This window comes from Homo sapiens, chromosome 3 (assembly GCF_000001405.40).
Source record: "Homo sapiens chromosome 3, GRCh38.p14 Primary Assembly".
NCBI classification, from domain to species: domain Eukaryota; kingdom Metazoa; phylum Chordata; class Mammalia; order Primates; family Hominidae; genus Homo; species Homo sapiens.
Window position 1 is genome coordinate 149,656,569 of NC_000003.12, and position 23,271 is coordinate 149,679,839.

At 44.3% G+C, this 23,271-nt stretch overlaps 1 protein-coding gene and 1 long non-coding RNA gene across 10 annotated transcripts in view, besides 7 other annotated features; one reads left to right on the forward strand and one right to left on the reverse strand.

The window, feature by feature from the left end:
* The window catches only part of WWTR1 (WW domain containing transcription regulator 1), a 207,554-nt gene that overhangs the window by 139,334 nt on the left and 44,949 nt on the right, over window positions 1–23,271 (reverse strand). For 5 of the 9 annotated variants that reach the window (NM_001348362.2, XM_047447933.1, XM_047447931.1 and 2 more), the window contains 2 exons: window positions 13,220–13,323; window positions 308–741 (listed from right to left, as the gene is read on the reverse strand). In NM_001348362.2, coding sequence (NP_001335291.1) covers window positions 308–738 — 431 coding nt within the window. In that variant the 5' untranslated portion in view covers window positions 739–741; window positions 13,220–13,323. Of the gene's footprint in view, window positions 1–307; window positions 742–1,196; window positions 1,458–13,219; window positions 13,324–13,675; window positions 13,990–14,199; window positions 14,340–23,271 lie in introns of those variants that run through there. The other 4 variants (XM_017006122.2, XM_047447930.1, NM_001168280.3 and 1 more) reach the window with 4 other exon arrangements.
* Window positions 1,284–1,863: an enhancer, noted in NCBI's record as "NANOG-H3K27ac-H3K4me1 hESC enhancer chr3:149375639-149376218 (GRCh37/hg19 assembly coordinates)". NCBI's record gives its function as "activates a minimal SCP1, AML or CMV promoter by ChIP-STARR-seq in naive H9 embryonic stem cells {active_cell/tissue: H9 hESC(naive)}" and the evidence as "EXISTENCE:reporter gene assay evidence [ECO:0000049][PMID:30033119]".
* Window positions 1,284–1,930: a biological region, named in NCBI's record as "NANOG-H3K27ac-H3K4me1 hESC enhancer GRCh37_chr3:149375639-149376218".
* Window positions 1,471–1,540: an enhancer, noted in NCBI's record as "active region_20681". NCBI's record gives its function as "activates an Ori minimal core promoter by ATAC-STARR-seq in GM12878 lymphoblastoid cells {active_cell/tissue: GM12878}" and the evidence as "EXISTENCE:reporter gene assay evidence [ECO:0000049][PMID:35858748]".
* WWTR1-AS1 (WWTR1 antisense RNA 1) lies at window positions 1,642–4,796 on the forward strand. Its single transcript, NR_040250.1, has 3 exons — window positions 1,642–2,140; window positions 2,810–3,751; window positions 4,538–4,796. It is a non-coding gene; the product is annotated as a WWTR1 antisense RNA 1 (long non-coding RNA).
* Window positions 1,771–1,930: a silencer, noted in NCBI's record as "silent region_14806". NCBI's record gives its function as "represses an Ori minimal core promoter by ATAC-STARR-seq in GM12878 lymphoblastoid cells {active_cell/tissue: GM12878}" and the evidence as "EXISTENCE:reporter gene assay evidence [ECO:0000049][PMID:35858748]".
* Window positions 2,101–2,310: an enhancer, noted in NCBI's record as "active region_20682". NCBI's record gives its function as "activates an Ori minimal core promoter by ATAC-STARR-seq in GM12878 lymphoblastoid cells {active_cell/tissue: GM12878}" and the evidence as "EXISTENCE:reporter gene assay evidence [ECO:0000049][PMID:35858748]".
* Window positions 14,083–14,623: an enhancer, noted in NCBI's record as "OCT4-NANOG-H3K27ac hESC enhancer chr3:149388438-149388978 (GRCh37/hg19 assembly coordinates)". NCBI's record gives its function as "activates a minimal SCP1, AML or CMV promoter by ChIP-STARR-seq in primed H9 embryonic stem cells {active_cell/tissue: H9 hESC(primed)}" and the evidence as "EXISTENCE:reporter gene assay evidence [ECO:0000049][PMID:30033119]".
* Window positions 21,713–22,214: an enhancer, noted in NCBI's record as "NANOG hESC enhancer chr3:149396068-149396569 (GRCh37/hg19 assembly coordinates)". NCBI's record gives its function as "activates a minimal SCP1, AML or CMV promoter by ChIP-STARR-seq in primed H9 embryonic stem cells {active_cell/tissue: H9 hESC(primed)}" and the evidence as "EXISTENCE:reporter gene assay evidence [ECO:0000049][PMID:30033119]".

Genomic DNA, 23,271 nt, shown 5'->3' on the forward strand with positions numbered 1-23,271 from the left:
TGTGCCCAAGAGTTGGCTTCAGTCCTGCAGATTCAAGGCAAAGTCACCTGTGTGTTTTATGGTGGATGAACTTCACCACTGCTTCTGATCCCTGCTTCTGATCCCTTACAATTCCAACACTCAGAGACTCACTCCCTGCTTCCAGCTCTCCATATCTGTGAAATAACCGTGGAAGGACACGCACCATCTCTCTCTTTCTCTCTCTCTCTCTCTCTCTCTCTCTCACACACACACACACACACACACGAACACACGCGCGCGTTGGGCACTGTGACTTGGTGCCTTCTTCGGCTCCAGGCTGACTTACTTGAGGAAGTACCTCTGGCCAGTGGCCGTGAAGGTCATCTCCCAGCCCGGGGGCAGTGGCAGCTCGTCGGTCACGTCGTAGGACTGCTGGCGGAGGTGCGCGTGCTGCTGCGCGGGGCTACCCGCAGCACCCGCGCCGGTGCCCAGCTGCAGGGACGCGGGCGACGAGTGCGAGCGGACATGCTGGGCACCCCCAGCCAGTCGAGGCCCCGGGTGGCCGCCCGACGAGTCGGTGCTGGACTGGCGCGAGTGCGAGCCCGAATCAGGCTCCTTAAAGAAAGACTCCGGCAGGATCTTCTTCCGCCACGAGCTAGGCTTCGGATTCATGACAGAGTTGAAGAGGGCTTCGAGGTCTGTGTCTAGGTCCTGCGTGACGTGGATCACTTGCTGCCCAGGCGGCGGGAGCGGAGGGGGCGCCGAGGCCGGATTCATCTTCTGCAAAAAGAAGGTCAGATCAGCCTTTTATTTAAAGTCGGAGGAAGTGGGTAAGAGGGTTACAGGGTGAGAGGGCGAGATGGTGGGAGAAAGAATAGAGGGAAAAGGAAACGAGGAGACAGATAATTGCCCGCCTGGAGATCCCAGACACTCAGCGGTAAGACCAGCAGGATGGGGGAGGGGTCCCTCCTGGCCTCGAGAATTATGCAACTTTCTTGAAGCAAAGAAGTTGCCTGGAGGAGGAGAAGATAGGGCGAGGGGTGGAGGGAATAACTGCACTCGGGGCTTGCTGAACCGCAGGATGGCAAAGGAAAGGTCGCACGATTCCAGGACAGGCAGCCCCCCGAAAGAAGTTCAGCCCGAGCCAACTCCACCACGTCTCGACTCCGGAAGCCCGAGGAGCCTGGAGCCCTGGAGTGGTGCCGGATGAGCGCGCGAGCTCCAGCGGGCACTACCTGGGCGGGCAGCGAAGCTGAGCCTGAGCGCGCGGCGGCCGCCGTCCCGCCCGAACTTGCCGTCGGGCCTGGGTCGCTCGGGTGAGTCCCGAGATTGCGGAGCTGGAGCCGAGGCTTGGCTGACAAATCCCGACCCGACTCTGTGCCTGGCAGTCTAAGGGCTTCGGCTCTCACATCCCCCGAGCTGGCCTAAGGCGCTAGTGCTGGGCGAAAAGGAGGCGCAGGAGAAGCAGACAGCGCGGCCGCAGCAGCTCCCGGACTGTCCCATAAACAAAGTTTGGAGCAAACTCCCACCCCCAGGAAAGAGGCGGGCCCGAAAGTTGAGCTGTTGAATTATGTATGACCTCCTAGTCCCTAGCCGGCCAGCCCCCGCTCGCCCCTCCTCTTCCTCCTCCTCCTCCTCCCACCTCGGCTCCAGAAAACCCTGGGCGTGATGGGTACTTTACTGGGTAAGAGGAGACGGGTGCCCCCCACCCACTCCTCCCGGCCGCGCGGACCTCTCCCGCTCAGACCTGCATCTGCATTCCTTTGAGTTTACCACGGACTTGGGGCGGGATCAAAGGGAAAGTGGCCTGAGCCTGTTTCATCAAGGGGTTGTGGACCGAAACCAAGGCCGGGGGTGGCGGAGGGCACGCGGATGAGGGGCTCAGGCCTAGGAAGGGCCGGTCCTGGACACCGCGCCCTCCCCTGCAGCCAGGCGCCGAGGCCTGCAGCACCCGGAGCGCCGCACTGACCCGCGATTCTGCCCGAAGGCCGGCCCGGGTGCGCCCCGGCGCGGGGAGACACCAACAAGGCCAGCTTTTCCACGAGAGGCTGCTTAGCTCTTGTGACCATATTTGGTCTGGCGAGGAGGCATCTTGGCTGCCTGGCTCTCAATTGTCTGCTAGAGCACAGACGGTGCCCAGAAAGTGCCTCTGTCACTGGAGATGCGGCTTCGCCAACGGGTGGGTTGTAAACAAACAACTTTCAAACCATTCATCAATCCTTAATTTCCTCTACGGGGGTGACTCAGGCCACTAGAGATTGAGAAGAAAAAGCTGGGTGTTGGAAGAGAAGAGCAATTGCACCCCCCTCCCCCGCAACATCCGTGAGGGTTGTGGGAGGATTGGAATGTCCCTGCCGCCCTCCGGGGAGCCTGGAGCCGGGATGGAACCCGAGCAGGTGGCTGGAAGTAGAGAGGGTGCGCCAGTGACCCGAAAAAAGCCACCCACCTTCCCACCAACTAGATCTGGGCGAGGGATGGAGACCCCCTGCCTCTAGCTAAGGGAAGAAGGTCAAGTCTGGCGAAACAGCTGCGGGAAGTAGGAGGAGGCCTTGCCCTTCAGAGCAGCTCAATTTCTTTTCTCTCTGGTTGCCTCTCCACTGAGGGGAAAGGGTGGGGGGAGATGGCGAGGTAAGCCAAATTCCAGGAAGCCCCTACTCCACCCCATTTGATTCAAATAGGAGTTTATTAAGTAAATCAAACGAGACAATGTAAAGCACTTCGCACAGCACCGGGCTGGTTACGTAAGTGTTTGTTAAATAAAAGAGAACTGTATGTTCTTCAAGTTCACGTATTGTGCCTTAATTTTTTTTTTTTTTTTTTTGAGTGACGTCTCCCTCTTGTCCCCCAGGCTTGAGTGCAATAGCTCCATCTCAGCTCACTGCAACCTCCGCCTCCCGGGTTCAAACGATTCTCCTGCCTCTGCCTCCCAAGTAGCTAGGATTAAGACGCCTGCCACCACGCCCAGCTAATTTTTGTATTTTTTAAAAGCAAAAATGGGGTTTCACCATGTTGGCCAGGCTGGTCTCAAATCCTGACTTCAGGTGATCCGCCCGCCTCAGGCTCCCAAAGTGCTGGGATTACAGGCATGAGCCACCGCGCCCAGCCTGCCTTAATATTTTTACAGGGTAAAATAAAGTCGAAGTTAAAATCTGGAGCTGCCTTGGAGGAGAAAAGTTTAAGGAAAAGACAAGGCCACTCATAGTTTTGCCTCGGAAAAGGTAGAATTTTGGGGCCACTCCCTGAATGGCTGCATCCATATCCAAAACAGAACCACCAAAGTGAGCCACTTCCCCTGTTATCTGTACTTGGAGGTGGCTCCAATTCCAGACTCCTCATAGACTGGAAGAAATTAGGGCCATCTTAGACTAAGGCAGGCATACACGTATCATCCTTTTTTTTTTTTTTTTGAGATGGAGTCTCACTCTATTGCCCAGGATGGAGTGCAGTGGCATGATCGCGGCTCACTGCAACCTCTGCCTCCCTGGTTCAAGCAATTATCCTGCCTCAGCCTCCCGAGTAGCTGGGATTCTGTGCAGCAAGTCCTCTGCCCATAGGACTGGCAAAAGGAAAGGGGAAACTAGCACAGGTCACTCCTTGGAAAGTAGAATCTTTGCAAGCTACTCTCAGAAGCCATCACAGTTGCAACAACAGGGGAAATAAGCTATCGAACAAGAGGAAGTGACTGGAACCTAATGATACTAATTCAGAAGTCACAAGGCTGACTTGATGATTAAAAGATGAAAACTTGAGGCCAGCCCTACTCTAGGAAAGTCCTCACTCCCGAAGAAAGGTGAGAATCAGGGTTGGAATTAGATGGGCAGTGAGAATCTGGGTTGGAACTGGATGGGCAAGGATGCAGTCTTCGTTTCTTTCCAAGCTTCAAGAAATAGATAGTGCAACAGATAAAGTAGATGTATGAAACGGAAATTGCCCTTAACACAGGATAACTGAAAAACTCCCAGTTCCCAAATAGCATATAAGATGTAATAGTGAATAATTCAAAAGATTTGCTGTTGTCCCAGCCATTCCAACAACAGCTTCAGATTAAATAACATTTACAGATGTCTTGTATGTATCAGGTACTGCCCGTAAGAGGCAGCACAGTGGATAAGTGTATAATTTCTGGAACAAAACAGCTGAGTCACTTCAGACAAGACATTTAAGCTCTCTATTCTTGGGTTTCCTCCTTTGTAAATTAGGGACAATAACAGTACCCACCCCACAGGATTCTAGGTGAAAACACATACACATTTTATTTGTTGATATTTGATTTAGAACACAATATTTGAAGCTGGCTCTATCTGCTACATTATGCAAGTAGCTTAGCATTCCTAAGTCACAGTTTACTCATTTACAAATTGGAAATAATATTGTGGTAGTCTCTCTGCTGCGTTGCTGCCTTTCAATGGCCCAGCCTCATGTTATTTATACCTTTACGTAGCCCCTTCCACTTAATCTGGACTGGGCCAGTGATTTGCCTTAACCAGGAAAATGTGGCAGTGAAGTTGTGCCACTTCCCTGCCTTTCCCATCCCATCCCCTAGGAAGGTATGGAAGCTTCCACTTTGTACTTTTAGGAGACCTGAGCCACTAAGTAAGAAGTCCAGTTACCCTGTTGGATAAACCACATGGAGAAGGAAAGGCCCTGAGATACTTGGAGAGAGGGAAAAGTCCAGCTGCCCAGCACCTGAGCTGAGCCCAGCCTCAGCCAACCCCACCGGCTGACTGCAAACACATCAGTGACCACCAGTAAGACCAGCAGAGCTGCACAGCCAAGCCCAGCCCAGATTGCAGAATTGTGAGCAAATAAAATGGATATTGCTTTAAGCCACAAAATATTGAAATGTTTTTTAAATGTAGAATGTGCATTCTAAGAATAAAAAGTTGCAAATAAAGTCTTTTTTTTTTTCTCAGACAGGGTTTCACTTTGTTGCCCAGGCTAGAGTGCAATGGCTTGATCTCAGCTCACTGCACCCTTCACCTCCCAGGTTCAAGTGATTCTTGTGCCTCAGCCTCCCGAGTAGTTGGGACTACAGACGTGCACCACCACGCCTGGCTAATTTTTGTATTTTTTTAGTAGAGGCAGGATTTCATCATGTTGGCCAGGCTGATCTTGAACTCCTGGTCTCAAGTGATCCGCCCACCTTGGCCTCCCAAAGTGCTAGGATTATAGGCTTGAGCCACCATGCCCGGCCACAAATAAAGTTTTTTTTTTTTTTTTTGAGACGGAGTCTTACTCTGTCACCTAGGCTGGAGTGCAGTGGCACAATATCAGCTCACCACAACCTCCACCTCCCGGGTTCAAGCGATTCTCCTGCCTCAGCCTCCTGAGTAGCTGGGATTACAGGCACCCACCACCACACCTGGCTAATTTTTGTATATTTAGTAGAGACGGGGTTTCACCATTTGGGCCAGGCTGGTCTTGAACTCCTGACCTTGTGATCCACCCGCCTCCACCTCCCAAAGTGCTGGGATTACAGGCGTGAGCCACCTCGCCCGGCCAAATAAAGCTCTTAACACAAAGCCTGCTTAACATAATAAAGCACTCAACAAATATGGCTGTTTTGTTTCATGGAGACCTAAAGATAAGGAAACTGGATCGATGAGTTAGAAAGTATTTTGTCCAAATATATACAATGAAACCATGTTAAAAAAAAACAAAAAACCCTGAGATTCAGCCCAGGGTTGTAACTCTAGAGCAGAGTGCATTCTCCAGACTGCATCCTGTGTGAGCCAGGAGTTGCTCCCTGGTATTGCCATTTTAAATCGTGTGATACTTTTTGTCTGACTATCTCATAAAGAAACTCCACAGCTTTTATAAGATAATCAGTTGAGAGCACACTCCTGCTGATAGATATGTAAATCTTTCCATTTGCAAACACTTTCCAACAAAGTCCATGCCTGCTTCTAAATCCTCCCCACAACACACTTCCTACTGAAGCTTCTCCTGAGTCATCCCTTTCTCTTCCCTCTGTTCACATCCAATCAGCGGCAAATGCTATTGATTCTTTCTTCTAGTGTCCCCCAAAATCCATGCTTCCCTTCCCACTCTCACGACAGGACCTTATCTCAAAATGCTTGAAGTGGTCTCCTAACTGGTTTCTCTGCCTCCAGTCTCTGTTTTCTGGTCTCCTTCTTTTATGATGTCATTACCCAGCTCAGAAGTTTTTTTTAACAACTGTTCACAAGTATATGAGTCAAAGCTATCAATCTGGCACTAAAGGTTTCCCAACACACTGCCATCTTCATAGCTTTCTGACCCTGGTTCTTACATGATCCAGTAATAAAGTATCTTTCTCCCACTTCAGCCAGGCTCTGACCCAAGCATATTTGGCCTAATTCGTTAATACACCTACCTGAACTTTGCTATTTGAATTCTGCTCAAAATTGTCCTCCAAACTCCATTGCCAGGCGTTCAGTAATCTCTCCCTTCTTCCTAAATTCTCCTTGTTCTTGTCTTTTTCACTCTTTCCACATGTAATCAAACATAACACTGCCTTACATTGTTTTGTCTTGTTTTTTCAGACAGAGTCTTACTCTGTCACCCAGGCTGGAGTGCAATGGCGCAATCTCAGCTCACTGCAACATCCGCCTCCCGGGTTCAAGCGATTCTCCTGTCTTAGCCTCTCAAGTAGCTGGGATTACAGGTGCCCGCCATCACGCCAGCTAATTTTTGTATTTTTAGTAGAGATGGGGTTTCACCATGTTGGCCAGGCTGATCTCAGGTGATCCACCCACCTCAGCCTCCCAAAGTGCTGGGATTACAGATGTGAGCCACCAGGCCCGGCATATATTGTATTGTAAAATTCGCCTCAGAAATCTCTTGCCTCCCCAACTGGACTGTAAATAGCTGCAGGGCTAGAAGCAGCTTAAATTTCTTTATGAGGTCAGGCGCAGTGGCTCACGTCTGTAATCCTAGCACTTTGGGAGGCCAAGGCAGGCAGATCACCTGAGGTCAGGAGTTTGAGACAAGCCTGGCCAACATGGTGAAACCCCGTTTCTACTAAAAATACAAAAATTAGCCATGCGTGGTGGCGCGTGCCTGTAATCCCAGCTACTCGGGAGGCTGAGGCAGGAGAATTGCTTGAACCCAGGAGGCGGAGGCTGCAGTGAGCCGAGATCATGCCATTGCACTCCAGCCTGTGCAACAGAGCGAGACTCCATCTTAAAAAAAAATTTTCTTATGAAACCGCTCCTAAGAAGGCCACAATTCCTTGTTGAGAGCATAGTGACCTTTAGATGATTTTGCCCATTCCTCTTTCAGCACCCATTAGTGTACTGTGCAGTTTGTTAGATAATTTCTCACCATTCACTACGATTTCAGCTACTTCTGGACTCAACTCTTTAACAAGATTGCAAGCTCTCTGAGAACAAGTCTAAGAGAACTTCACTTTCTTTTTGTTTCTCCCATGCCTAACAAAGTGTTCTCCATGCAGGAGTGTTCTGTACATGCCTAACCCAGTGGATTTTGCCCCTGCTATTCATCTGCCATTTTTGCCTCAGGAAAGCTTCAGCTGCTTCTCAGCCCTACCTCCGGGTTGCTGACTTGGTCTGAATGACTGATTTCAGCAAAGGTGTATGGTTAGAAACTTGGTGGGGTGGCTAAGTTAGAGGACTGTGGTCCCAGAAGCCCTTGGGGCAGAACCTGCCCTGACTTGCTGAACCAGTATGGAGAAAATTCCCAGAGCCAGGGTTGGGTCACCATTAGCAACTGAAGAGGAGCAAAACAGACAAGGACCTTGAATAGATAAAGGTTTGAATAATGAAGAGTCCAGAAAACTATTGAATAAGGTTCAACATGAGGATAAGAGTTGACCAGTTCCTTGACAAATCAAACGTGATACTTGTGTTTTCAGAATTTACCATATCCCAAGTGTTTAACACAGTGTCCAGCATATAGCAAATATGCAAATACCTAAATAAAAAATAATTGGTGCTGCCACTCATTTTTGCATTTACTCTTTTGTTGCCGTGTTTCACTTTGGTGTTCTTAATAAATGCATCACTGGCATGATGATAAGGAAGATAATTTTGATGATAATGATGATGGAAGGCACTATCTTTTTTTTTTTTTTTTGAGACGGAGTTTCGCTCCTGTTGCCCAGGCTGTAGTGCAATGGCGCCATCTCGGCTCACCGCAACCTCCACCTCCCGGGTTCAAACGATTCTCCTGCCTCAGCCTCCCGAGTAGCTGGGATTACAGGCATGCGCCATCATGCCTGGCTGATTTTGTATTTTAGTAGAGATGGGGTTTCTCTATGTTGGTCAGGCTGGTCTCGAACTCCTGATCTCAGGTGTGATCCACCCACCTTGGCTTCTCAAAGTGCTGGGATTATAGGAGTGAACCACCGCGCCCGGCCAGAAGGCACTATCTTTTGTCTGATGTTATCTGTTGCTTTAGTAATGCATTTGGGCTAGAGAAAAAAGGAATTTTTGATATTTAATCTTAACTTCAGTACCTTATGTAAGTTATTTATCCTTTAGTATTTTTGCTATCATTTTGGGGCAAGGGACTGGAGGAAATATTTTTAAATGGGAAATATTAAGTAATAGATATTTTCCTAGAAAATAAAAATACACTTTTGAAAAGGCTCAACAATATACAGTATGGTTTAGAAGTTAATGATCAGGGCATATTGCAGAGTTGCTCATTGCACCATGATCTATAATAACGGGAAATTAGAAATTTCCTTTCTTTCTTTTTTTTTTTTTTTTTGAGACAGAGTCTTGCTCTGTCACCAGGCTGGAGTGCAGTGGCGTCATCTTGGCTCACTGCAAACTCCGCCTCCCGGGTTCAAGCCATTCTCCTGCCTCAGCCTCCCAAGTAGCTGGGATTACAGGAGCCCACCATCATGCCCAGTTAATTTTTGTATTTTTGGTAGAGATGGGGGTTTCACCATTTTGGCCAGGATGTTCTCGATCTCCTGACCTCATGATCTGCCCGCCTCAGCCTCCCAAAGTGCTGGGATTACAGGCATGAGTTACTGCGCCCGGCTCAGAAATTTCCTAAATATTTAAGAAGAGAATGGTTAAGTATATCTAACAGCTTAACATATGCAATGAAGATTCTGATAGTTATTTGAAAGTGTTTATGAAGACAATGTGACAACCTGAAAAATGTTTTTAAGAATTTTTATAATTTTAATGAGAAAAATTACGAAACAAAGATCTGTGAATACTATCATTATAACTTTGTTCAAAAACATGGAAAAATGAATAAAAAGATGCTAAAATTATATTAAAAACTATGTAGAAATAAAAAGATAAATATTTCTCTTTGTGTGCTTATATCTGTATATATGTGTAACATGATAACACTGAATCATCACTCTCAGAAGTACAAACCATATTATTAGTATTATTTTGGGTGTGATGAGAGAACTAATTAGCAGTGTTTGGGGTGGGGGGAATTTCAAGGTGCTCAATATTATCCATCCATTCAACAAATACGGTACATATTTTTTTAATATCCATTGTGTTCAAGGGCAGAAGTGATCTTTCAAGCTGAGCTTGGAAGAGTTTGCCACCTGATTAAAACATTTATTGTTTGACAATTTCACTCAACTCCTCCCTTTACCCAAATAAGTCACAGATCTGGTTACACTAGCTGTTCAAGCCACTGCTCTTCCTTGTCTTATTTTTCTTGGTGACAAGAGTCAAGTATATATGGGCTCTACTATTATCTCTCTGTCTCAGCATTGTCCAGACACAAGTTAGGACACTTTTCATGCCTGGTCAAAAAAGTTAATTTGTGGTTTGGAGCCAAGGAGAAGAGAGCCCTCCAAACCAAAACAAGGTGGAGAGAGGACCTGAGTATAAGAAAGCCAGTGCCTGTGGGCACCAGTTCAATTCACACATGCTTAAAAATGGCTAAATTTTCTTTAAAAATATATATTTCTAGATAATCTTAGATAAGAGAGTAGATTAATTCTCATACAGCATCTGCCACACAATACATCCTAATTTGACCATATGATTGAAGACATCTCAATCTAGTTATGATCATTAAAAGCTGTTAGTATTTCAACTATGGCAATAATAATAAATCATATTTATATAATATTTTACAGACTACAAAACAACTTCACATGTACAGTCACACACGAATCTCATAGTAACCCTGTGAGAATGGGCAGATACACCTTACTAGAACTATTTTACAGATAAGAAAACCAAGGTTTAGAAAAGTTTATGTCTTGCCAAAGGCCATTGATTTATAACAAGAGCACCAGGACTCAACCCCTCCAGTATCTCTCCGGCTTTCAAATTATATTTCTTCTGTAGTTTCCTAACAGAATCAGACTCTTAATTACTTCCTCCTCTGTGAGCATACACTATTTTGTCTTTTCCTTTAAAGAGAGGGAAAGAGAGGCTGTTTTTAAAGGCATTTTTCCTCCACTGACTTACAGTATCATTTCACAAATGTTTTGTCATCTAATGGCCATACGATGTACAGAGGCTCCTAAAATGTATATCGAAGCTTAGTTGTCTCCTCCCTCTCATTAAATAAATAAAAACTTAAATGTGTTGGAGGTACTGAAAATTCAATCAAACCCTGATTATTGGAGCGCTTGTGTGTATTAAAGAATCCTTCTGTGATGTGAATCATTATTTCTAATTAATATGAAACATTGGGTCTCTACTTTTTAAGAGTTGTATTCCTAAAATTATTTTGTAAATTGTTTAGTTGGAACTTGATGCATTTTGTTATAGGAAAAAACAAATCTTACTAATGGGGCCGGGCGCAGTGGCTCACGCCTGTAATCCCAGCACTTTGGGAGGCTGAGGGGGGGTGGATCATGAGGTCAGGAGATTGAGATCATCCTGGCTAACATGGTGAAATCCCGTCTCTACTAAAAAATACAAAAAATTAGCAGGACGTGGTGGTGGGCACCTGTAGTCCCAGCTACTTGGGAGGCTGAGGCAGGAGAATGGCGTGAACCCAGGAGGTGGAGCTTGCAGTGAGCTCAGATCGTGCCACTGCATTCCAGCCTGGGCGACAGAGCAAGACTCCATCTCAAAAAAAAAAAAAAAAATTATGAAAAAAATCTTACTAATGATGTCTAGGCAACCCAGCATCCCACTATGCTCCAAATTCGTGGAAGCCCCAAGTCTCAATCTGTCCTGATACTCTGGTTGAGTCCTTCTAGACTTGGAGGTATCACATGAAGCTCTTAACAGCCAAACAATGTTAGGACTACATGGGCACTAACCCAGTGGCTGCACGTTGTAGTTCTACTGAGTCATCATCTCCCATTTTTTGTGAATGATTTTAGACAAGAGAAATTTCACAGTTCATTCTGTATATTTCCTCCTACCTGCCATCTGTTTCACCAGAGGGAAAAGAATCTGAAGATATTTGAAAAGAGAATTAAAACATCTTGATAAGATACCAAAGAAAAAGTGAATGAGAAGACCCTTGAGATCTACCTGTCACCTTCCTAAAAAATTCTGTAACTGCTGTCTGTGAAAGTGTCAGTCAAGGCTTATCCCTCGTATAGATTGTACAGCCTGGAGTTCAACACTAGAGATGATAATAATTCAGAGTCTGGTTAGTTGGCATTAAATCTATAAAAATAATACTGGTTAATGGCTTTTAGGGAAAGAAGCCTCTAGATTTTTAGGTATCCACTTCTCTCATAAGTGTAAAAGACTGCCTTTTTCCAATTAAATATGACAACTTGTATCTTTCAGCAAGGAAGGATGAAGTTCTTTGTCTAATCCTGATTTAAATACATTATCATGTGAAAAATCTCTCTCTTCTATCTGCCCTAAGGATAGATTTTTGGGGCTGTCAAGAGCTGACTCTTGGCCAGGCGTGTAATCTGAGCACTTTGGGAGGCTAAGGCGGGCAGATCACCTGAGGTCAGGAGTTTGAGACCAGCCTGGCCGACATGGTGAAACCCCGTCTCTACTAAAAATACAAAAAATTAGCCGGGCATGGTGGCGGGCGCCTGTAATCCCAGCTGCTTAGGAGGTTGAGGCAGGAGAATCACTTGGGCCTGGGAGGCAGTGGTTGCAGTAAGCCGAGATGGCGCCACTGCACTCCAGGCAGGGCAACAGAGCAAGATTGTGTCTCAAAAAAAACAACAAAAAACTGAGTCTTCATTGCTTCACATCACAACTCAAGGTCTAAAATTTGAAGTGTTGGATCCCATTCTTAGAAAAAAATAAGTAGTTACCAATGGGGAACGGGGGATCCCTTTTAATAAATTCTCTGACAACACTGAGGCAATAGTTACATTGATTTCTCCACATAAGCTCCCTCAGACACTCCACTCACCAAAAAGTCACCTTGGTTTCAAATTTTTTTTCATTAGTGTTTGAACACCCCACAAAAAGACTGCCATGAAGTCTCATTCTGTTTGGCTGGAAAGACAAGCATAATCTAGTGGTAAATTTCAACCTTGCTAATGAATCCTCCCTTTGACTTTCTGGTCAGCTTTGCTAAATGAGTAACTTTACAGCCTCCAACACAAGCCATTGGCGTGGGAGAGACTTGGCCTTTTTTACCCAAAATCACCAAAGGCCTTTGTACAGAGTCCAAGTTTTTACCTTTAGTCAGTCTTTTCTATTTCACCACTGCCAGGGGTTTTGTTTTTGTGGAACAAGAAATAAGAACCCCACATATACAAGGTTATACACATATACAAGAACCCCCACATATACAAGAACAATACACATATACAATATACCCCCACATATACAAGAACCCCACATCTTACAAGGGAACCTCCTTTGTGACCACATAATCTTACCAAGGAAAATCCCAAATGAGTTCCTGCACCAGTCCCATTACTCTGCAGCCTGGGCAGCAGTGGGTAGCTAGTCTGGGAACAAGAGTGCTCTTCTCTTTCTGTTATCACATACCCATCTGAACTCAAAAGGGCTTCACTTAAATAAGGAATTTCCATTCTTCTAGAAATGTCATTTCACTTGAACTTGCACTTCTATCGTTTAAAGAAGACAAACAAGGTCCCCAGTACTAGAGTCCAGTGGGAGGGAAAAGGAAAGGAAACATTAAAAGTAATCCAGGGAAACTCTGAAGGTAAACTTGCCCTTCTGAAAACAGACAAAGGTAGACCTCTGCTTCCCTGCTACAATTTCTAGAAAAAGCAAAACCATCCTGAAACCCCTCTGGAGAGTTCAATTACAGCAAACTGGCCAACAATGATATCTATATTTATACAGTAAATGTGTTTAATATCATGTTCAAACTACCAATCAAGAAAAAAAAATGAATAAAAATAGATGATTACCTGGAAAATCACTAGTAAGCGTGGCTTATGGGTCAGTTCAGATCCACCAGGAAGCAGATGCCAAGATAAGAGTCAGATGAGCAGAGATGTATTGGGGAAAATGCCTGCAAAAGTTAAAGAGGAGAAAGAAGGTGAGTAAGCTAGGAGAGTATTCAGATTGCAATGCACGTCTGTCAATAGTGAAGGAGGAGGGTAGGAAGGAGGGCTGGCCAGGAAAAGTCTCAGCCCCGACCAGGCCAGTGCTTCCAAGGCAACAGCTGACCCTTAGGGGCGTCCCGCGATGGGCAGCAATGGCTCAGCTCTAGCACCCAGCTGGGCTCAACCCTTGGTAGACAAGAAACCACGGCCTTCAGTGTGAACAGTGCAAGCAATTTTACAGGTGTGGCTGGTGAAGATGTCAGCTCACTGCTGTCCTCACAGTGACTCTATTGAAGAAAGTCCTAAGCATTTACCCACATGGTTTTTATCACAGTGCGTACAGACTGCATCACACAGGCTGACTTCTCCATTTTTCAGGGCGCAGTTCATCCAAGGTTGCTGTGGGCCTTTCCTCCTCAGGGGAATCTTAGAAGAGGGCGATTAATGAGACAAACCACAGCCCCTACCGCTGTAGTTGGTCTTGAGGCCATAACTGCTATTTATCCTCTTCCTCCTTCACTATCTACTCTAAGTTTTCCATATCCAGTGCTATCCCCTCTACAGGTGCTGATGTCCAACCTGGTGGCGGACCCCTGTAGTCCCAGCTACTCGGGAGGATGAGGCAGGAGAATGGCGTGAACCCGGGAGGCGGAGCTTGCAGTGAGCCGAGATCATGCCACCGCACTCCAGCCTGGGCGACAGAGCGAGACTCCGTCTCAAAAAAAAAAAAAAAGAAAAGAAAAGAAAAGAAAATGAGGCAAGAGGTGAAGTGACTTGTCCAGGGCCTGATGAGTAGACAGAAACAGATAAAAAAAAGAAGTCAATTCTCTTTTTTTACTCACTGCCCAAGAGCTTCCTCTCTCCAGTCACCGGACTCCTGCTGCAACAGGACCAGCTAAGGAATATCGATCCAGTCTGGGAAAAAAGTTATCACACTGCTTAGGCAGATACACATTCTGAAGAAAAGGAGAAAGTGCAAATCCTCTTGCAGGAGTCCTTTCAACTCAGTTTGTGGCTGGTTATGTAAATGAGGAGGCCGTGCAAGAGAATGGGGTCATGAGCTGCCTGGGGATTAAGCATGACAACGCCGTCTGTCCTGGGAAGAAATGATACTTTGCACTTGTATAATACCTTTCATCCATCCAGCAATAATAAATAAGACTTCGTACTTTCAGCCAAATATTGCAAAAACTTAACAAATATTTAACTCATGAATCCTCAGAACCACCAAGAAGGGAACACTTTTGAAAGGAAGAAAGAAAACAGCTTCATCCTCATGATCCACTGGGGAATCTAAGGTCAGAAGAAACGGGTCTACACCTGGCCTCTCAACACCGCTGGCAGGACTCCTGACAAGCAAGGACATTCCTGTGTATGAACACTGTCTAAGGTGACCTAGACACAGGATTTCGAAAAGAGCAGAGGCAAACCAGAAAAACCCCTGCTTGTACATTCAGCCCAGGGAATCTACGAAGCTTTCAAAAGAGGTTTGGTTCTGAGTCTATAAGGGTTCTTTGAAGCCTCTTCAAAAGTTTCTGCTGGCATATCCCCTAACAGAATGTTTTAAAACCATGTACTCCTTCACAAAATTTTCAGTTGACATCTAAAATATTACATCGTATGTTTGAATAATTGCAAAGGTTGTAATTTTCATGATGTTATTAATATAGATATTTTAAAATAAACTATTGCAATTTGCTTTGAAATATCCAATTGAATCTAAATCCAAGCGATTTGATGCCCACCACATCCATTTTAAAAGTCTACAAATGAGCTCTTTTTTAACAGTCAGATGTTTTTTCCCTAAGCTCCTATTTTTATTCTACTTCTACATATTTATCTTAATGTACTATATTATTATGCTTAAAGGTCTTATTATTCATTTTTTATATTATACTTCTCTGCATTAAAAATGTTTGTAATTTTTTTATTTCCTGTGTTATTATGAAGCTGATTTGTAATAACAAATAGGTCCAGCATGTAACTGCTCAACACAATCAAAGCCTATTTCTTTCTCACAGAATAGTCCTGGGTGAGGTCCCCAGGTAAGCAAAGTGCTCCCCACCACATAGTGATGAGGGGAACCTAATTCCTTTCATCTTATGGCTTCCCTGTCTCCTAGAAAAAGGGTTTAGCTTGTGGGCCTATTTTTGTGTGCTCTGGGAGCTAAGAATAGATTTACATCTTTAAAAGGCTACAAAAAAACAAAAAACAAACAAACAAACAAACAAAAAAACAACCAGTAGAATGTGCATCAGAGGCTTTATGTGGCCGCAAAGCCCAAAATAGTTACTGTCTGGCTTTTTACCAAAGTTCGCCAACCGCTTTCCTAGAGCCTCATTCTCAATTCGTGTAGCTGGTAGAAGGAGAAAAAGCAAAGAAAAGCACAGAAGATATTTCATGGGACCAGGCCTGGAAGTGACATACATGATTTCCACTCACAAGTTGTTGCCAGAACAATTACATGACTACATGTTACAGCAAGGATGATGGGGAAAAGTAGGCTACCTACGTACCCGAAGGAGGGTGGAACAAATTGTGGGAGCCAGGTAATAGTTTCTACCATGGCCAAGCCTCTAAAGAGTCAAAAACTTATTATTATTACAATTATTATTGGTGTAAAAATATCAAAGTGACCCACATACATGTTAAATTAATATAAATAACTTAAAAAGAAACATTTTATTAGAGATATAGTTCTTAATAAGATGAATGGGACTATTTTCAATTAGTTCATGTATCTCAACTTAGAGTACTAATTTTATGCCTACTTTTTATTTTTATAAATGTTTATATAAAAAATCTTTCTATAAAAAGATATATAAGAGGATGGATGGTAATGGAAGAAGTTTTTTCCTTTTTTTTTTTTTTTTTAAGAAATAGGGTCTCACTTGGTCACCCAAACTGGAGTACAGTGATACCATCACAGCTCATTCCAGCCTTGGACTCCTGGGCTCAAGCGATCCTCCCGCCTCAGCCTCTGAGGAGCTGGGACTACAGGCGCATGCTACCACATCCAGCTGTTTTTAGAACTTTTATTGTTAACTTTTCCTATCTACTTAATGAAAAAGAAAAAGTATGAATTGCTAAAAATGAAGTCTGGCAGCTGGCATATAATGTTACTTTGTGTTAATAGGAGTAAAAATAAATGTTTTAAAAGAAGAAATAGGCCAGGTACAGTGGCTCACGCCTGTAATCCCAGCACTTTGGGAGGCTGAGGTAGGATGATTACTTGAGCCCAGGAGTTTGAGGCCAGTCTGGGCAATATAGTGAGACCCTGTCTCTGTTTTTTAAAAAAAATAAAAATTAAAAATCAGTTAAAAGAAGAAATAAGTTGAGAATTGACTATCACTGGAAAAATATTCAATGACGTAATTTCATAGAAGTAGGTTTTAATTACTTTATTCAATGATGTGTACGTTATGTAAAAAAATCAGGTGAATTTTTAATCCATGAATTCTATCTTGTGTAGTAGAGAATGTAGTAACCTCAGAAAACATTCCATTTAAATTTAAAACTATTTTTATGTTACCCCCAATTTTAGAGGGATCATTCACACTGCATTCTACAAAAGGTGAATGACACTCGGAAAGGCATGTGAAAATTTGGTATGTGCTTGGTATGGATGCATCACTCAGCCCTGAATCAGCATCAGTATCTGGCACTGCATCTGCTGCTCAGAGACATTTTTTCCAGCTAATGGCCCCTCCTAGGTTTTGAGAATTTTGTTTTGAAAATAAGTGAAAACAAAAAGCAGACTCCATTTTTAGCATTTGAAGTGTTCTTTACTTTGCTGTCATGGGTCTCTCTCTCCAGAGTTATGCATTCTTTGACAATAACCAGAGAGGCCAGGGATGGGAGGAGCCAATACTTCAAATGGTCCCTTTGTTTCCCCCTCCCCTATTCCCCAGAGGTCTCAAGATTTTGGAGGTACCAAGGTAAGAGTCAAGACAGGTAAGGAGAAGATAGGCTGTTTTGCAATGGAAGGTGAAAATAAAGAATTTGGCTGGATATGATGGCTCATGTTTATAATCCCAGCGCACTTTGGAAGGCTGAGGTGAGAATATTGCTTAAGCCTAGGCAACATAGTAGAAGACCGGCCTAGGCAACATAGTAAGACCTCGTCTCTACAAAAAAAAAAAAATTAGCTGGGCATGGTAGGCGCAGGCCTGTAGTCCCAGCTACTGGGGAGGCTGAGGTGGAAGGATTGCTTGAGCTGAGGAAGCCAAGGCAGCAGTGAGCCATGATCATGCCACTGCACTTGAGCCTGGGTGACAGAGCAAGACACTGTCTCTCTCTCTCTGTCTCTGTCTCTCTCTCTCTCTCTGTCTGTCTTTCTCTATCTCTTTCTCTCTCACACACACACACGTAAAAATTGTAGGCCCAGGCATGGTGGCTCATGCCTGTAATCTCAGAACTTTGGGAGGCCGAGGCAGGCGGATCACGAGGTCCGGAGTTCGAGACCAGCCTGGCCAATATGGTGAAACCCCATCTCTACTAAACATACAAAAATTAGCCAGGCATGGTGGTGCGTGCCTGTAGTCCCAGCTACTTGGGAAGCTGGGGAAGAAGAATCACTTGAACCTGGGAGGCGGAGGTTGCAGTGAGCCGTGATCATACCACTGCACTCCATCTTGGGTGACAGAGAGAGATTCCATCTAAAAAAAAAAAAGAATTTGTATGAAACTTAAGGCTAGCCTTCAGAGAGAACAAGCCAAAATTGATTCTCTTAAGAATCTGTACTGATACACCTCCTTAGAAAGTTACTTAACTTAGCTTGAAGATTGTTCTTTTAGGGAGATTTCTGTATACTGTTCCTTTGGTTAAGCAAAAGAGGTGTTTAGCTAAGACCACACGTCCATGTTTTCTAGTCTAGCTCTTGGTGCTAGTTTTGACATTCAAAGCTCGCTGGGCCTTCTAACTCTTATATTCTATGGTTTAAACATTCTATGGTATGTTTGAATGTTTTTCTGAAGGTTAGAGAGAACCAATGGCATTTTTAAACAAAAGGGCTAAGTGGAAAAGCAGTGTTTCTGGAAGATAAATCCAACAAAATTGTGATGGAAAAAATGTGGGGAGACCAGTTGGTAAACTATCACAGCTGTCCTTGAGACGCTAGTCCGGGGTTTGGACTAAGATGGTAGAAGGAAACCAGAATCATATATCTTACTTCTTTTGATTTTCCCCTTTTTTCTTGTTAGAAGAACTCCAGTTTTATTTGGGTATCTACACATCAGGGAAGATGACACTATCCCTGGCTCAGGGCCATATCTTGATTAATCTAAGCCAATCATGACAACCCTATACTCCTTACCAGTGACTGATTGTTTTTAAAATGAGCATGTTTTGGCCAATGAGATGTGAGACGTCTGCTGAAGGACTTTAGGGAAATATTTCTTTATTCATATTACACATACAAGAGAAACTACTGTCTGCTTCATCTGAACATTGGAGTATCTAGGGTGATGCCTAGATCTCTGGCAGCCATTTTGTAACCAAGAGGGCAGCTGGCCTGAAGATGAAGATGAGTGAACAGAGAGACAGGAATGATCAGGGTCTTTGATCATGTTTTTCAGCCACCCAGCCTCCTGATTTTTGAACTTGTATCACCAGGAGAATAATGGTACCGAAGAAATTTGGACAGCCAGAAGAAAGAGCTTAGAGGAAGACAATGAAACTACCAGTGTTAAAAGTGTCTAGTGTGAGGAGCAGTGGTGTTTCTAGGTAAAATGGCCAGAACCTAATTAAAAACATGGAAGTGGAGTGAAGGAGTAATATTAGAACTCAAAATTTCTTTCTTTTTTTTTTTGAGATGGAGTCTTGCTCTGTTGCCCAGGCTGGAGTGCAGTGGCACGATCTCGGCTCACTGCAAGCTCTGCCTCCCAGGGGTCACGCCATTCTCCTGCCTCAGCCTCCCGAGTAGCTGAGACTACAGGCGTCCACCACCATGCCCAGCTAATTTTTTGTGTTTTTAGTAGAGATGAGGTTTCACCATGGTCTCGATCTCCTGACCTCGTGATCGGCCCGTCTCAGCTTCCCAAAGTGCTGGGATTACAGGCGTGAGCCACCGCGCCCAGCCTAGAACTCAAAATTTCAATGCAGAAGTTATTTGCAGAAACTGGTATCTACTGGTAAGGAATTATGGTGGAACATTGACCATGTCCTAATGTCCACACCTAATACCTCCAGGCGGAATCCAGCACCAGGGGGAAAAAATCACAAATTACCATCTGCTTAAAGAAAAAGGAGAGAGATGTCCTTGTCAACCTATTTTTAAGATAAAGATCTACTTACATTTCAGAACAGGAATTCTGATTTCCCCAAAAAGAGAAGGGAAAGAGACAAAAAAAATCTTCAGTATTGATTCTTTATCAGCAAAATTTAGTAAGAATCTTTCCAGATAATTTAAGGATTTTAGCATCTCTGGTTTTAAAGGGGAGTCCTCATCATCTCTTCAACAATATGAAAATCCAGTCTCATTTTTATTGAATCAGGGCAAAATCCTTGTCAGACTAGATTCTTTGTGTTTTTTTTGCGGAAAGAAGGAACAAGAAAAAAAATCCTTTAGGGTAGATGACCTGTCTGATGATGGTAAGCACAGCTTCAGTACATCAGGTTTTTTGCAGGGTGCTTTTACATACTGTTTCCAGTCCTTACAGCAACCCTGCCTGGCAGATATTGTTAGTTCAGATTTATGATGAGAAAAACAGAGGATTAGAGAGACTAAGTAATTTGCCCATGCGCACAGTTAGCTGGGATTCTAAACCGGGTCTGCCTATTTTCAAGGTACATGCCCTGCTTGCCACACACCACTGACTTTTTAAGGGAGACAATAAAGGGAGAGCAGGGAAAGCAATGGGATTGGCAGTGTGCATGCTTTTCAATAGTGAAAGTCAGCAAAAGAGTCAGAGAAGGAGCAACCAGAAAGATTATGTTAAATCCTGAAGTCTGTCACCACCATCCACCCTCCTCAGTCAACTAGATAACCTTGAGACTCTTTTTTTTTTTTTTAGACGGAGTTTCCCTCTTGTTACTCAGGCTGGAGCAATGGGGCGATCTTGGCTCACTGCAACGTCTGCCTCCCAGGTTCAAGCAATTCTCCTGCCTCAGCCTCTGGAGTAGCTGGCATTACAGGCATGCGCCACCACGCCCAGCTAATTTTGTATTTTTAGGAGAGACGGGGTGTCACCATGTTGGTCAGGCTGATCTTGAACTCCTTACCTCAGGTCATCCGCCCATCTCAGCCTCCCAAAGTGCTGGGATTACAGGAGTGAGCCACCGCACCCGGCTGAGACTCTTAAATGGAGAGGGCACAGTCCCTAGGCAACTTGATACTCCCCTACAGGAGCAATTTCATATTTGCTAAAAATGCTTTCCTCCCAAATACATTTATGAAAGAAACCACTGTATATACAAACAGCTCTGGCACGTAATATTAAAGTAGTGATCCCAAAATTCTGTTGTTGGCTCTATTGTCTTCCCATTATCCAGTGTCTTGGTCAAACTCATCCATTCCCATGACTTGGACTACCTTTCATACACTGACAAGCTCCAAATGTATATCTACAGAGCACTTTCCAGTATTAGACACCACTTAATGTCTCCTACGGTGTTCCCACAGGAACCTAAAACTCAATCTATCTAATGTATCACGCCTGTAATCCCAGCACTTTGGGAGGCCGAGACGGGTGGATCAACTGAGGTCAGCAGTTTGAGACCAGCCAGGCCAACATGGTGAAACCCCATCTCTACTAAAAATACAAAATCAACGCGGTGTCGTGACGCGTGCCTATAATCCCAGTTACTCGGGAGGCTGAGGCAGGAGAATCGCTTGAATCTGGGAAGCAGAGGTTGCAGTGAGACAAGATTGCACCACTGCTCTCCAGCCTGGGTGACACAGCGATCTCAGCTCACTGCTACCTCTGCCTCCCAAGTTGAAGCAATTCTCCTGCCTCAGCCTCCTAGTAGTTGGTACTACAGGTGCCTGCCACCACACCCAGCTAATTTTTGTATTTTTTTTTTTTTAGTGGAGACGGGGTTTCACCATGTTGGCCAGGCTGATCTCGAACTCCTGATCTCAGCTGATCCACCTGTTTTGGCCTCTCAAAGTGCGGGGATTACAGGCGGGGGCCACCACACCCAGCCAGTTGATGTTATATTCACAGTTGATGTTATATTCAACCTAACATCATTGGCAAATGTAATGGTGCATTTCTTGAGATAATGAGATGGATTTCTAATCTAGTCTAACTTTTCATCTCAACTATTTCAAAATTATCTTGAAGCTCTAATTCACAGAACACTTATACACAGTGATTATAATTACTGTGCAGCTAGAGTGGATGCTAATAGGAGGGTACCTAAGCAACAAATAGACAGAAGTGGCCAACTTATGTAAAGACAGGTTTGAGGCCATCCCTTAGAACTGTGGAGTCCCAAGTCAGCCTCCCTTCATCTGGAACACAAACTCCCCTGGCAGTTCTGCAGGCCCTTTTTCCATAATGGCCAGTAGTACATTCTGCTTAATTGTCATGTTCTGTTAATCACAGGAAGCAGTGAGTGGCAGACATTACTCACCATGCTCACTACCTACTCTGCAGGGACCACAGTCTATGCCATTAGATCCCACACTCTGGAGCCCTTTGATCCACAGCCTGAGGCAAGTCGCCAAGCCCTACCCTGCCACTGTGAAGGCTTACAGTATCAATTTCTTTATGTACCAGCTGCCAGTGACACACAAGTTTGGAATTTCTCCCTCATCTACCAAATTCTATCTCCGTTATCAGAAATGGATTTACAGATTTTTCATGAAACTAATAAATCTTAAACATCAGGACCCTCAATTCATGGGAACTTTCCAAGGTCCTGGAGGAATTATATTAACGTGTTCACAAGTATTTTTTTTTTTTTTTTTTTGATGGAGTTTCGCTCTTGTTGCCCAAGCTGGAGTGCAATGGTGCAGTGGCGTGATCTCGGCTCACTGCAACCTCCGCCTCCCAGTTCAAATGATTTTCCTGCCTCTGCCTCCCTAGTATCTGGGATTACAGGCATGCATCACCATGCCCGGCTAATTTTTTGTATTTTTAGTAGAAACGGGGTTTCACCATGTTAGCCAGGCTGGTCTTGAACTCCTGACCTCCGGTGATCTGCCCGCCTTGGCCTCCCAAAGTGCTGGGATTACAGGCATGAGCCACTGCGCCTGGCCCAAGGCCATATGTTTTTGTAAAATTTATAAAAGTAGAATATTTCAACTGCAATCAGTAAAGGTTGTTGTTTTCCTCTCTGACTTCTGTTGGGTTGGCGATGAGCATTTTGGAATACCAAGTTAAGGAAGAGTTAAGAATGGATACATATGTTTGAATTTAGTGAGATATATTTATGTGCTTTATAATTTCCACATCAGAAAATTAGGACAATACTGCCTACCTTTTAGGGTTATTTTGAGCATGATATAACAATATGGCAGCCAACATATTCACCAATGAATATGTCCTAACTTCCTGAAATTCTAGCCTCTTTTCTCTGTACTGTTCAGCCTTTCCAGATAAGTTGGCTCCCAGTAAAATAGTAAACACAAGAGGAATTTACCTAGTTTAGCTGGACTGATCCTAGCACAGTATAGATAAGTTAGATAAATATCATTATGCCCATGATTATCCCTGCCCTCAAAGCATCACCTCTGTTGGGAGTTCAGGGAAAGAGAACAGATGGAATGGTGGGAAAAAAAAAAAAAGTAAAATGCCAACACAGAAAGGTAAAACCAGGCCTTAATTCCTGAGAGGGAGCCAAAGGTTGGCAAAGAAAAGTGATGAGCTCCTAGGGATGATGATAAAAACCTCTCAGGTGGAATAATGATATACTTTTATGAGGAAATGGACAGACTTAACTGTCCTACACTGCCTTCCATCTGCAAG